The sequence below is a fragment of the Homo sapiens genome, chromosome 10 (genome assembly GCF_000001405.40).
Source record: "Homo sapiens chromosome 10, GRCh38.p14 Primary Assembly".
Classification (NCBI taxonomy): domain Eukaryota; kingdom Metazoa; phylum Chordata; class Mammalia; order Primates; family Hominidae; genus Homo; species Homo sapiens.
Genome location: NC_000010.11, coordinates 79,116,665 through 79,130,900, shown reverse-complemented (window position 1 = coordinate 79,130,900; position 14,236 = coordinate 79,116,665). Strand labels below are relative to the sequence as shown.

General features: G+C 54.7%; 1 protein-coding gene across 11 annotated transcripts in view, besides 4 other annotated features; it reads right to left on the bottom strand.

Moving 5' to 3' along the window:
• Positions 1–14,236, bottom strand: part of ZMIZ1 (zinc finger MIZ-type containing 1) — a 247,554-nt gene that overhangs the window by 185,619 nt on the left and 47,699 nt on the right. For all 11 annotated transcript variants that reach the window (XM_047425538.1, XM_047425539.1, XM_005269988.4 and 8 more), the window contains one exon: positions 11,877–11,986. The gene's annotated coding sequence lies outside the window, so the exon portion shown is untranslated. The remainder of the gene's footprint in view (positions 1–11,876; positions 11,987–14,236) is intronic.
• Positions 850–1,491: an enhancer, noted in NCBI's record as "H3K27ac-H3K4me1 hESC enhancer chr10:80889167-80889808 (GRCh37/hg19 assembly coordinates)". NCBI's record gives its function as "activates a minimal SCP1, AML or CMV promoter by ChIP-STARR-seq in naive H9 embryonic stem cells {active_cell/tissue: H9 hESC(naive)}" and the evidence as "EXISTENCE:reporter gene assay evidence [ECO:0000049][PMID:30033119]".
• Positions 1,155–1,449: an enhancer, noted in NCBI's record as "tiled region #11789; HepG2 Activating DNase matched - State 25:Art". NCBI's record gives its function as "activates a minimal TATA promoter and a strong SV40 promoter by Sharpr-MPRA in HepG2 cells {active_cell/tissue: HepG2}" and the evidence as "EXISTENCE:reporter gene assay evidence [ECO:0000049][PMID:27701403]".
• Positions 3,726–4,244: an enhancer, noted in NCBI's record as "H3K27ac-H3K4me1 hESC enhancer chr10:80886414-80886932 (GRCh37/hg19 assembly coordinates)". NCBI's record gives its function as "activates a minimal SCP1, AML or CMV promoter by ChIP-STARR-seq in naive H9 embryonic stem cells {active_cell/tissue: H9 hESC(naive)}" and the evidence as "EXISTENCE:reporter gene assay evidence [ECO:0000049][PMID:30033119]".
• Positions 13,762–13,831: a silencer, noted in NCBI's record as "silent region_2529". NCBI's record gives its function as "represses an Ori minimal core promoter by ATAC-STARR-seq in GM12878 lymphoblastoid cells {active_cell/tissue: GM12878}" and the evidence as "EXISTENCE:reporter gene assay evidence [ECO:0000049][PMID:35858748]".

Here is a 14,236-nt window from a genome sequence, read left to right as displayed (position 1 = left end):
ATTTGGAAGACGGTGCTCATTTCATAGATACCTGCCTGATGATGACTGATGGGAGCTCACTTTACTGATCCTTAAAATGTTCTGGGACCCTGCAAACACTTCATAAGTGTCACTTTATTGAATCCCACTATCCTGTGAAGGACAGAATATTATTACCCACATTTCAGAAATGATGTCATTGAAGCACCGAGAGGTTAAGTGACTGCCCAAGGTCACACGGTTAGTCAGTGATGGAGCCGGAATCAGACCCTCATATTATGACCCCAGCGCCTATGCACCAACCATGGCGCTTTCCTGCCATCATCTTGGTCTGCATGTGTGCTGGGGAGACAGATAACTCCTGCCCTCTGGGAGCTGGGGCATGAGATCCACTGGGCAACCGCATGGCAGCAGCTCAAGGGGGAGTCTGAGAAGGGCACGGCAGGGGCACTGCATCCATTTGGCACCTGGCTGCAGCTCTGCTGCAGGCTCAGCCCTGTATACTGGGTAGGGTTGGAGTGTTGACTGGACAGCGCTGGGCCTGGCACTCAGGGTGTCCCCAGACCTTTCACATGACCTTGGGGTTGGAGGGTGGAGGGCACAAGAAGGCTGATATTAGGGAAGGCCTGGGCAGCTCTGGGCAGCCTTTCTGAGCTCAGTAAGGGCCTTAATGTCAGCCTCAAAATTCTGACTTTATGCAAGGTGATGGGGGAAGCCAGGGAGGGCTGGAAAGGGCTCAGGGATTCAGAAGCAGGAAGATGGTCCCCAGCAGGGGTGAGATGCTGAGAGGGTCACAGATCCAGAGATGGTTAAGGGGGCCTAATCAACTGTTGGATGTGGGGGTCAGGGAAAGTGAGGTGTCAAGGATGACCTAGGCATCTCCCCGCAGCCCTCTGGGGGCTTGGATGCCCAGCTTTGCTGAACCAGCAGCTGCCTGCATCAATATGAATTGACCCAGAGCCCAGGGAGCACTGCTCCCCTCCCCCAGGAAGCCCTATCTTGTGGGAGGGCACTGCAGGCCAGCAGGCCACCACCAACTCCGCTCTGTCCCCCTGCTGACCTTTCTCCTTTGTCAGCAGTGCACTCCATCAATGCACCGGAAGGGCCAGTGCGATCCCTCCCAACTGCTCAGGCCAGGGCTGGGGGCAGGGGCTCGCTCTGCCCTCCCTCTTTCAAGGAAGAGGTTTCCTGAACGTCTCCAGAAAGCTGGGAGCAAAGCCACTAAAGCCCTCAGTGCAAATAGGGAGACTGAGGCCTGGTGAGGGGCAGCTCAGAGTCCACCAGACAACTGCAGTCACAGCCTTGAGCAAAGAGCCCACCAGGCATGAGTCATGCCCCTCCTGCTGGCAGAGGGGAGGGAAGAGAGGAAGCCAGAGAGGAGACTGGAGCCAGGCCCTGGGGGATGGGCAGGCACAATCTGGCTGGGGGAGGGGCCTATGAGGTGTGGGAAGGGGCCGAGCGACTGCACCAGCAAGCCCCTGCGCCAAGAAGAGGATCCTGTGGGCTTCAGAGTGGGGCCAGTGGACTCAGGCAGGCCTTGGGTGGTCAACCATCCTGGTTTGCCCACAAGTGACAGGTTTCTGGGACACAGAATTTTCCATGCTAAAACCAGGACGGTCCCAGGCAATCTGGACGGCCACCCTAGTGGGGCTGATGCTGAACTCTGGTTTTCAGTTCAACTACTCTCTGTGTCTCAGTTTCCTCATCTGGAACTCAGAGCTTATAACAGTACCTTGTGTATGGTTGCTGGGAGGTGGGGGAGAGTGACATTAAATAATGTACTTAAAGTGCTTAGCATCCGGCACAGCATCTGATAAAAACCATTAAACAAACGGCAGGTGGCTGCTGTTATTACTCCCAACTGCTAGACTATTCTTACTACTATGAGTACCAGCTAACACATACCAAGTGTTACCCTGCACCAGACTTTCTAAGTACTGTGCATATGTTGCTAATCTAATCCTTACAATACTTAACGGGGAAGGAAGTATTATCATCCCCATTTTCAGATGAGGAAATTGAGGTGTGGATGGGTTAAGCACGCCCAGGCTCTCACACCTGCCAAGCATAGAGCACTGAAAACTACTTTTTCCACTGGAATGATCCCAAAGCCCGGGAGATGCTGGCCAATGTCAAAATGATTATGGTCACACTGACCCAGGGCAAGAACTGGACAAACACACAGGCCACTCTGGAGGTGCCCTGGGGATTGGCAAGCATACCCTGTTTTCAGGGAGACTGAGTCCCTAATCCTTAGCCTGGGTCTTCAAGACCTTCCCCTTCTGGTCCAATCAATCTAATTTATTGAGTTCCAGGGTCTATTTACACAGCAAGAGAAAGGAACGCCCCATGATGTACACACGCCTCCTCCTGGCCCCAGGGGCTCCACTCTTGATCAGGCATGTTTTGCCCACTGCGATTCATTCTGCAACAACACTGCAAAGGTCAGATTCATGCCCATTTCTGAGATGAGAAAAGAGAGGCTTGGAAATGTGCTATGGTCACACAGCTGGATTTAAACTTGTCCAGCTCCGAAGCCTGGGCTCCTCTTGGTTGCTGGTATGACAAAATGAACAGCATGAGGGCAGAGGGCCACACCGCATATGTCTGGGTCGAGTATGGTGCAGGGAGAGGTGAGTACTAGAAAACTCCAAGGAGGGCAGAGCCCCCTCTCTTAGAGCAGGGGAAACTCTGGCAGCTCAAAGAAGGCACCCAAGCACCTAGGGGTGGAGTAGTCAACCTGGACAGGTACTGCACCCAGGGAGAAAAGGGGGAGGGAGACCTGAGGCAGAAGACCATCACCCTGCTGCCTGGAGGGGAGGGAGGTCTTGCAGAGACCCCTCTTTAGACTCAGAAGCTGAGCATGCAATGCCTCCTGTCCCAATCCCTAGGAAGTTCTCAGCGCAAGGAACTGCATGCTTGCAAAGCAATTAGCTTCCAGCACCCAGGAAAAAGGTAGCTGAGGGGGCAGGCAGGCGCTGGCTGAGCAGTGGCCCTGGGAAGCTGGGCCCTGTTATTTTTAGCATCTCAATTCAAGAGGGAGGAGGCCCTCCTTCCCACCAGGTAAATGTCAGCGCCACTGGCAGCCCCAGCCAATTAAAGCAGCTGGAGCCAAAGAGGGAAGACAGAGACTGGTGGCCTCTCCTGCTGGCCCCCAGCAGCTCCTGCAAAGGGCCTGCTCCTGACTCACCTCCTGCATGGCCCTGAACAGGAAACACTGGCTCGGTCTAAAAAGGCTGAGCAGGGGCCTGGTTGGAGTCCTGGCTGGGCCGTGTGACCCTGGTCAAGTCTCATGCCTTCTCTTCTCTGACTCCAGTTCCCCCTCTGGAAAACGCCACCCACCTCCCCACCCCGCCCCAGCCCACTTGATATTATGAGGGTGACATGAGTCAGGGGTTGTGAGGATAAGAGAAGCTTGCCACCCCCTGCTGTGGGGTGGCTGCTTTATTATTCCAGAAAAGAATGGGCTTCCCGAGCAGGAACCTGGGCCATCTGACGGGGCCTGAGCTGGCTGCTGTGCAAACTGCTGGGGGAATTTGCGCAATCCCGGGGACTTGTAGTCCAAGGAGCCCATGGCTGGCGCTCTGCTGATAGGAGAGGCATGAGAGAGAGGCCGCTGCAGGTCAGTGGAGGCTCTGCAAACACAGACCGGCCGAGCCCAGGGCTATGGGGAGGAGCCACACCTGGAGAGGGCACCAGGCACCCAGAGCGCCGGCAGCATGCCTGGCACTGGCATGGCATTTCCTCTGCATCAGGGTATCAGTCAGCTGCAGCCTTGGGAAGGAATAAATATTGTCCCCTCCCTGTCCCCAGCAGGAGGGAAGGAGGCAGAAGGAGGAAAGAAGGAGTTGGTCACAGCAAAGAGAAGGGAGGCGCATCTCTCATTTTATCCTGGGACCCAGGTCCTTAGTCTGTAGTGGGGGCTGCCCCAGGGACCTAATCCCTCATCCTCTCAGGTTGGTCCAGCCTGGCAAACCCCAGAAATCTTAGGTCAGCTCTCCTCCACTGGGGAGAAGCCTTGGGTCCAGCAGCAGCCTTCTGGGCCAACTGCCCCCGAGGTGCTGGGGAAGCCCATACTTCCCTCAGCTCATATCCCCAGCATCAGCTCAAAGCCTCCAGAAGCGGACTCTTCCACTGAGGCACTTCCCTGCTGTGGCTCCCCAGGTGCCTGAAGCTCAGAGGAGATAAAAGGGAAACTGAGGCACAAAAGTGGGGCAGTGATCTACTCAGGGGCATTTAGCAAGTTAAAAGCAAAATATAACCTTCTTTCCTTCTGCCGTCTCCAACCCCCCGGGGGCACCTCCAGCCTCATTTCTTTCCCTGAGCAGTCCTAGCCTCCACAAAGCCCCCATTATCTGCCCCAGTGTGGCTGCCACAGGGTCTTGGCCCAGCTGTTCCCTTTGCGTGGAATGCTTTCAGTTTGGTTCACAGTCTGGTCATTCTTTGGGGCTCAGCTGGCACTCACCTCCTCCAGGAAGCTCTCCCTGACCCCTGAGGCCTTCAGAGCCCCTAGACCCTGGCCCTAGGTAATGCCATGCTGCCTGTGGTCAGCAGCCTCCCAGATGGTTGAGCCTGCTGGACACTCTGCTAAGCCTTGGCAGAGGGGGCTGATGAGGGGAAGGGCAGCCCCTGGTTTCCTGAGTCCACTTTATTTCTTCACTCCCTTGCCCCTTATAAGCCTCACACTAGGCCCTGACTCTGAGGCGTTGCCCCTAGCCCTGACCATTGGGCCTACAAATCCCGGCCTCACTGGGGCTCTCTGGGTAAATGGATGACAGGATAAGCCCTTGCTTGTGGTGGCGAACCTCTCACAGCAGGAGGCAGAACACAAATGCGGCTCCACGGAGCCAGGTCTGCGGGTTCCCGTGCAGCTCTCAGTCCCAGTTCTGGGTGGCTCTCCACAGGTCCCCAGAGCTTCCTTGGCCCTTCAGGGTCAGTCCTGCCTTTCTGCAGATAGAAGGCTCCTATCGCTGCTGCTGGTCCCTGCCCCTGCCAGCCTCTGCACCCCCATGTAGCCTACACAGTTTAGTGTGGCCCTGCACTCAGCTGATAGCCTGAAGCGCCATGTTGGCTACCTTGGGGCATGCCCTCCTATCTCTGGGCCTCAGTTTCCTCATCTGTGCCATGAGTGGGGTGGGTAAAATGATTTCTAAAGACCACTCCTCCCAACACGAGAGAGAGGCTGTGGTTTTGTTTTTATTCCAATAAAGATGTCACGCTTGTGGCCCCACCCAGTGTCTATTACTTGCTGCAAGGTCGCTGAGGCTTCAGACCTAGGAACACAGGCACGGCCAAGGCTGTCCTCTGCCCCAATGTGTGGCCTGGGTGTGTGGCTCATGAACCAGAAAGAGACAAACTCCAGAGCTCAAAAAGAGCCAGTGGGGCAAACATCAGTGGGAGGGAGAAGCGCCCTCAGTAAGTAACACCCAGGAAACTCTTTACAACCTTACACTCCTACCAGAGTGAGCACACACCATCCATGAAGCATGTCCAGGACCCTGGGACGGCCAGAGGGAGACCCAGACCTACCTCTCTTGGGAAAGATGCTGCCTACCTGCTCTAGCCTCTGTACCCACCATGAGGAATGCTGTGTGCCCCCGGGCTGGTCTCTGAGCCTCTCTGATCCCACTGTGTCACTGAGCAACGCCTGCCCCAAGCTCTGAGCTGAGGTCAGGCCCATGGCAGATGGGGTTGGGGGAGGTGTGCAGATTGTGGCACCTGGCTCCATCGTCGGTCGCTTTATCTTGCAGCATTTGAGAAGACTGGCTTTCCCTTTTGGTAGAAAGCCCCAGCGCCTGGTCCAGCAGAGGTGCCTGGGTTGCTGAAGAGGCCGTGGTGGAGCATGAAGGTCCGGCCAGTGGACAAGCCTCCAACCTTGCTCTTCCTGCTGCCACAGTTCCTGGGTGAACTAAGTCTTAGACTGGACCACACCTCACCCTTGCCCTAGCTTGCAAGCTGAGGCCAGCCCTCCTAGCTCTCACAAAGGAGGTGCCACTGCCCTGCAGTCTCTTTTAGCTCCCCACTCCCTGCAGGTTCATGGCCAAACTCTGTGGCCTAGCATTCAAGGCCCTCAGGGGCTGCCTCAGCTGTGGCTGAATGAATCTTCCTCCCCAGCCGGACTGCCCTGACCCATGCCACCCAGTTGTGCAGAGACCCCAGGAAGACCCTACTCTTCCACTCTGTATAGGAACCCCACTCCCCTTACCCCTCCACCAGGAAGTCTTCTCTGGCTGCCTCCTACAGCATGAGGAAAGAGCTGCACCTACCTAGCAACCCTGCACTGGAGACTGTGACCTCTACTCAGAACTCCGGACCTGGAGCTGTGCTCTCCCAGCTCAACTGAAGATTCACTATTGGATACCAGGGCCTAGCACGGTGCAGGAGCACAAGGAAGTGTTCAACACCAAGCTGGCTGATGGACAAAATGGATCACCCAGCAAACAAGCAAGTATCTGTGACAGGCAGTTTGTTGTGGTAGGGAAAACACATATTATGGTGTCAGATAAAACTGGGCTGAGTCCTAGCTCCACTATAACCTGTGTGACCTTGGCTAAGTTTCTTAACCTCTCTGTGCTTTGAGTTTTCTCATTTGTACAACAGGATAGTCCCAACTTCAATGGGTTGTTGACACCCTTGAAGACTGCAGTTTGTAATCCCTGACCTACCCCAATCCTCTGATTTTACAGACCAATAAACAGCTGCTCAGAGAGGGGCAGCAACTTGTCCAAGGTCACACAGCAGTTCTTAATGGGACTGAGGCTTGAACACAAGTCCTGCTCAGAGGGCCCACCAGGACAGCAGTCCCACCCTCCTGACCTAGAGGGGCATCCTACCTTGGGCAGGAATAAGCAGTGAGCTGCAAACGATTCCCAGATCCAGGCTTGGGTGGGGGTTGTGGAGTCATAGCAGGCTGCAGAGGCTGGGGTGGAGGGCCTGGGCTGCAGGCCACAGATTTCACGCAGTGGGAGGAGAGGTGTGCATTCTCAGCTGGCGCTGAAGATTGACAGGCATGCCATATGCGGACCCTGGAATCCCAGCTCCGTGTGGCCACGGGCTGGGCCCTGGCCAGGCCTGCTGTGAGCTGGGCTTGGCATTCAAGGTCTTCATGGCCAGCCCCAAACCGCCTATGTAACCCTGGAAGTCTGCTGACTGACAACTTAGGGTGTGCATGCCGGCAGCCTAAAGCCACACACCAGGGGCTGGAGGGGCTGGCGAGGAGAGTGCAGCCCTCACCCCAGGTGGCTGCCCACAGAGCTCTGAGCAACAGCTGTTTGGGATTGCCTCATATGAAATCCAAATCCAGCCCAACCCCAATCCCTGATCTCCCTCTCCACCTTCTCTTAAAAGACCGCACAACCATGCTGCTCAGTGGAGGAAACCCTCCTGTGTGGCCACAGCCCTGGAGTCCACCCCCTACTCACTCCCGCTACTGCCACCTCCACTCTTCATGCTAGAAAGTGCCAGAAAGCACTAACCATGCTCCAGGCATGGCTGTGAGAGTGCCCATGGCTTACTTCGTTGAATCCCTCCCAACTAGAGGGATATTCTCCCCATTTTACAGATGAGGAAATGGGGCACAGAGAGATGAAGTCGCTCATCAGAAGCCACAAAGAAAGGGGTAACAGAGCTGGAAAACCTCCATGCCTCAGCCCGGTCCACAGCCGCAATCTGCCAGCATCCTCCACACTCATCCACCAAGAGTGTTTTGAGTGTCTTTTGTGAAGTGCCAGCCATATGGAACAGTTTGTCATGCCCCTGACACGATACCCCTCTCATCTGTGGCCAGCCTTTGCCTGCGGTTGCAGCCCAGGCCAGCTAGGGCCTTCTCACCTCTGCCCCAGACTTCAGAGCCATGTATACCTGGCTCTAGTCCGCCGAGCCACGTGAACTGGGCCACATCACTTGTGGGGAAAAGCAGGGCTGGGCGCTAGTCTGCTCTAGCTGGCTGGACCTCTGCGCTCTACCAGGCCCTCTTCAGCAACCCACATACCTCTCCTGGGCCAGGGGCTGGAGCTTTCTACCAGAAGGGAAAAGCCAGTTTTCCCAAATGCTGCAAGATGAGGCGGCCGAGGGTGGAGCCTAGGTACCATTCTCTGCTGCCACTGTCTACACCCCTACCCGATGTGGGTCTGACCTCAGCCCAGGAACTTAGGATGGTTGTACCTCTGAGCCTCTGTTTTCCTATCTAGCAAATGGGAATAGGGCCTTTCAAGAGCTCTCCAGGGTGTGATGGGTGTGAAAGGACTTCGCACACTGTAGAGAACTCTATAGTGCAAGAGGTCATTGCAGCTACTGAAGGTATCACAGAGTAAAGGTTGGAAGGGAGGAGCTGGGGGGTCAAAGAAATCTGCATGACATCTAACCTGCAGGAGTGAGTCTGCCAAGGAGAGATGGGAGTGTGGGCAAGGAGCAGTCCAGACAGGAGGCTCTGCAAATAAAACAGAGTAGACTCCCCATACCCTCCACTGCCCAGCCAGGTGGATTTGGAAAAGCACAAAAAACCAGGCCACCAAGGTAGACAGGGGCAGCGCTGGAAGGTAAATGGGGTGGGTCAGGAGAGCCTTGAACATCACTACGTGACGGAAAGAGTTGCCACTCCACCCCGGCCAAAGCTTCTGTCCTGGACTGCTTGGGATAAGCTAGATGCTGGCACCACTGACCCTCCTCTGCAGGCAGGAGGGTACCATCGCTCATTGGCAGATGAGGCTTATGGAGATGAGGAGGACTTGCCCAAGGTCGTGGGCCTGGTAAGTAACTGGTGGCGCCTGCACGTGAACTCAGTTCTTGGCGCTAAATCCCACAATTGCTACACTTACTCAAGCAGGGTTGGCTTCACTGGCCGTCACACAGGGCCACAAGCTTAGAAGGACCCTACTCTGCTGTCATCATCTTGAAATCCTTTGTAATTCATGAACAAAGGGCTCTGCATTTTCATTTAGCATTGGACCACAGCTAAATTATTTAGCTGGCCCTAATTCTAGGAGACTCTGATGGGTATTGTTGGGTACAGATGCAGGTGCGAAGGGCCATGAATAAACTCTCACTTTTCTGGGACTTTGGTGGAGCTGAGCCTTCTGCTGGGTCTTCCTTGGCCTTTGACATCAACCTAGCAAATTTCTCCTCTTTCCAAGGCCCAGCGTAAATATCACCTCCCGGGGATCCTTCCCAATTTCCTTCCATAGTGGTACCTACCACCCATGCCAAGCAGAACCTTGGCTCCCTGTGCTGTGGTCCCACACCCTGATCCTTTAGCAGGTCACAGAGCCTCCCAGTGGATATGCAAGCAGTGGCTACCTCTCCAAAGGCCTAGGACTCCTCCAAGCCTCTTGGGTACCCCAGAGCTTTCTGCTGGCCAAGTTTCCAAAGGACAATCCTAAGGATACTTTACAAAGGAGTTGTGGAGAGGAAGTTACTAGGTCATGCTAGAAAGCAGACCCCAGAGAATAGCCTATCTTTCTATTTGCAAGAAAATGGCAGGTATGCCTGGGAATACTAGGTCAGAACTAAAGCCCAGATAATCCCAGAAGCCTCCTCGGGAACCCCCTCTAACCTGGAGGGGCTCTCTGGGAAGGAGGGAGGGAAAGGAAAAGGAAGTGTTGAATTGAGGTGGGTGCAGTGTGGTTAATAAGCACCCAATTCTGGCTGTGCTACTTCCTGGCTGAGTGGCCTGCCCTCTCTGAGCCTCAGTTTCCTTATCTGCAAAGTGGGTAATAAATGACCTATCCCTGAGAGGAGATCATGGGAGAAAAGAGCATAAATGTTCACATCTGATGACGTGGATCCGAAGCCCAGCTCCAACACTTATGAGCAGGTGTCCCTGAGAACCTCACCTGCATTTATTGTGCCTCAGTTTCCTCATCTGGAAATTGCTTGGTAAGGCCTTCTCAGGCTTCTCAAGGGGATTTAGAGCACTCATGGAGGCAATGTGCCAGTCTCCTGGCAGGGAGTCAAATGTGGTTGTTGTACCAAAGCTGGGCACTGCAGGCCCCCAACTCCTCACGAGTCAACAGGGAAGTGCAGGTGGGAGAGCGGGAGCAGGGATGACACAGACCCCACCACCTTGGTGGAGGCAGGCAGGGTGGACTGTCATGCCCATGATTCAGAGAGTACCCAGGCCCCAGGGGATGAGAAGCCTGGAGAGGAACAGCCCCCACATCCCCACTTTACCTGTAACCTGTTTTATTCTCATGAGACTACTAGCTTCAATTTGTTGAAGCCCTGCAGAGTGCCCAAAATTGCTCTCGGCAATCTACACAGCAGCCTCTCATCCTTGCGGCCACCGTATAGGAGGCGGACAGGGACGATTCCTGTTTCCAGATGGGGAATGAGTCCTAGAGCGGGCAAGGGCTTGTCCATGGTCAGTCACATGGCTGGCCCTCAAGCCCCAACACCCTCCCCAACATACACACAAACAGAGCTCCAGCTCAGCCTCGGCCCAGGCTGTCCAGAGCCTCCCAGGAGCTGCTGGAAGCTTTTGCCGATGCAGAGCCATCGACCTCTGAACTGCCTCTTCTTGTTGGAATGCACCCTGCGTTGTGTGTGCATGGATATGCAGCCCCGTGTGTCAGAATGCTGTGTGCTTGTGAGAGTTTGTGCCCGTGTATGTGTGTAGTTCCAACACGAGTTTGTGCATGTGTATGTGAGCATGCAAGTGCACGCAAGTGTTATCTGTGTGCATTCATGTGGCATGCAGAAGCGACGTCTGTGTACACGTTTGTGAGGAAGCGCACATTTGCACATCTGTATTATCTATGCACTCACCACCACTCATGTCTGTGTGTGCATGCACATCCTGCCAGGTTCTGCTCCATCTATGCTTCTGTCTCCCCACACTGTAACTCACTTGTGGTCACCTCCCCAGAATTCTCCCCCCAGCCTCTGAACCCTCTCCACGCCACTGTTATGGGGCTTGCCACATCACTGGGATCTTTCTGTTTCTCCACGGAGCAGAGAGTGGGACAGGCCCCTTTCCCTTGCACCGCAGTTGGTACCTAATCCAGGAGTTGGCACACAGTAAGTGTTTAATACAAGCTTAGGAAAACGAACTTGAGGGGCGGAGGGAAAGAAAGCCTTATCCAGCCTACACACCCCTCCTCTAGAGGGGGCCCTGGCTGCCACCTCAGAGGCACCCAGAGGCCAGGCCTGGTCCCTGCCACATCACATCACAAATGGGTCATGACCCCAGACCCACCAGGAGCCTGTCACCTGGTAAAAGCCCCTCTCCCTTTTTCTTAAGTTGGGACAGGATCTGGCACTTCTGAAGACACCCATAATTGCCCTGATCCCCACCCCCAAAAAGAAGCTAGGAGCAAGGCCAGAGGCAGAGTAGGCCAGCGGGCAGTGGCTGGCGCACTGGAGCCACACAGACCTGGACTTGAACCCTAGGCTCAGCCAGGTGTGCCGCCTGGGGCAAGTTACTTCCTGAGTGAGTGACGTTCAGTTTTCTCACATGTACAATGCTGGTGATTACAGCAATGCTCTCATAAGGCTGCTGTGATGCTGAAAGAAGTAATAACTCTATAGTACTTTGCACAGTACCCAGAATACAGTTAAGTGCTTGTCGGGTTAGAGGATATCATTACTGTTATTTCCATGGACTAGAGTAGAAAGCTGAGGCCCTCTAGAAGGAAAGGGCTACCCAAGGCGATACTGGGAGTTGGCAGCAGAATAAAATCCCATGTCCAGGTCCCAAGTCAGGACATTCACCACCCTCCACTGTGTGGCTTTCTTTGAGAGGAAAAGGCCAAGGAACAAATAAAGACTGAGAAAGAAGCCCCTTCCCCTCCCCAGCCCTCTGGGCCCCTGAAACAGCACCATGCACTCTGGGCAGCCCGCACTCCCTGTCTGCCCCACGTCAGCAGGTGCACAGCACCAGAGGGCCAGCCCATCCCACTTACCTGCTCAGGCCTCTGCAGAAGGACCAGGACTCAAGTCTGCTGAGAGCGTCTGGAGGAGGAGGTGGCAGCCCCAGCAGTAGTACGAAATCAGAACACAGCTGCCGTGAGTCCTATGGGAGACAAGAAAGGGGGCAGTGAGCTCCAAGCTCTGACCCTGCGGGCAGCCCCTCACCCACGTCATGGACCTCTAGGTCCTGGCTGCCATCTCCTGGAAGATGGAACTGGCCCACCAACGTGGAGCTACTCGAGACACTGGATACCGTCCTGCCACTGCCAAATAAAGGTCGCAGCTCCTGAACGTCACATTCGAAGCCCCAGCACCGGCCGAGCAGCCCCGCAGCCCTGAAAGCCAGACCACAGCAGCAGCCAAACCTGCCTGCCCACCACTAGGCTCCAGTCAGCCCGGCCTCCCAGAGCCCCTGGCTCCGGCCTTGGCACACGCTGGGTGCCCCGCTCAGAGCTCTTCTCCCCACTTCTCTGTCTTTCAAGGGCCCCTGGCCTTTGAGACTCTGCTCAAGTGCTTCCGTGGAGCCCTCTCTCACCAGCCCCTCCTTGCTTGTTCATCTCCAGTGGGCTGTGCGCCTGGCCAACCTTGCCTCCTCCCGCTTCCCACAGGACACTCTCCCGCTCCAGGCCCAGCTCCTGGACATTGGGAGTGAAGTCTAGTTTCTCTCTGTCCTCTGAACTGGTTAACAAGGACCACAGAGATTCCTTGATGGATGAATGGTGCCGTGAAAGTGTGCAGTGAACAAACAGAAAAACATGGGCTGACTGAAGTCAGGAGGCCTCCCCCCATCCCTTCCTCTATTCGATTCTAGAATATGGGGTCAGATTGATGAGAAGAAAGGGACTTGGTGAGGTTGATACTTTTCCTTGTCATTTTACAAATGAGGAAACTGAGGCCCTGAGAGGGAAAGGGTTCCTCCCATGGTGAAAGGCAAGGCTGGAGTGAAGTCCAAATCTCCTCAGGGATGGAGGCTGTGTGGCTGTCTCCCCCCAGTTCCTGCATCTGCAGACCCCTGGCCTCCCTGACTGTTGAGGGTCAGGTCAACCATGAAAGGCAGCTGCTGGGAAAAGGAGAAGGCAATAGGAGGCCTCTGGGGTGGAAAAAGTGTAGCAGGAAAGCTCATGCTCAGAAAAGAGGGATCAGCCTCATGGCTCTACTTCCCCTGACCTGGGGGCCTGAGGCTCAGGGCGGGCAGAGGGGACATCACAGGAAGCCCCTTCCAGTGTCCACAAGATGCACCTCCAGCCCATCTTCAGCTGGGTCTTTGTAAAGTCCCCCTTCTGCTGGTGGGGCACACACTAGACACTAGACCCACCACTTGGAAGAATAGTTTGGAAGGGTCTCTTACCCTGTGACCTCTCCCATGACCCAGGAACTCCATGTCCACAGAAAAATGTGCATATGTTCACCAGAAGACATGTGTTAGAATGCTCGTAGCAAGGCAATTCGTAACAGCCAGAAAATGAAAACTTCCCAGATGGCCACCAACCATAGAATGGGTCAACTGGTGTTTCCACACAACAAACTGCTGCACAGGCTTGGGAATGAGTGATCTGCAACTTCATCCAACAACACTACGGGTAAATCTTGCAAACACAATGTTGACTCAAAAAGCCAGGCACGACAGAGAATACACTTATGAGATCCATTTATATAAAGGTCAAGAAGGGCAAAAAGACTCTACGCCTGTAATAGATGAAATACGGCAGGGGTCCTCTGGAGTTCCTCCTATCAAGAGGCGGAGTCTGTTCTCCACCTGCTGAGAGCTGGCCTTGAGAGTTGTTTAGATCAATAGGATTCGGTGTGAGTGACATTTTGTGAGTTATAGAGACTAGGCCTCCTCAAGAGGTCCTGCCATTTCTGGCCTTGCCTCTCTTGTGAGGCTGCAGGCCATGGAGGGAGGTGTCTGTCTTAGTGGAGGGTGGGGAACTCCCCTGGCAACAGCCAGCACCCACTGCCCGTGTGACTGAGGCCATCTGGACCTTCCAGTCCAGCAGACACTCAAACGTGACTGGAGTCACATGAGCCCAAGCGAATCAGGAGGAGAAGTCCAGCCAAACCACAGAATTGTGAGGTTTCATAAATGGTGGCTGCTTTAAGCCACCAAGTTTTCAGGTGGTTTGCTGGGCAGCAGGAGATAACTCACAGCAGGCTGGAAGTCAGGACAGTCGGTATCCTTGAGGGGGCAGTGAGTAGAGGGCACAGGGGGCTCTAGTGGGTCTGCAAGGTTCTGTTTCTTGATCTGCCTGGCAGCTACAGAAGCATGTGCCCTTCAGGATAATTTGTCAAGCTACAAATGTAGGAGATACACACTTTTCTGCATGGGTGTAACACTTCAATGGAACTAAAGACA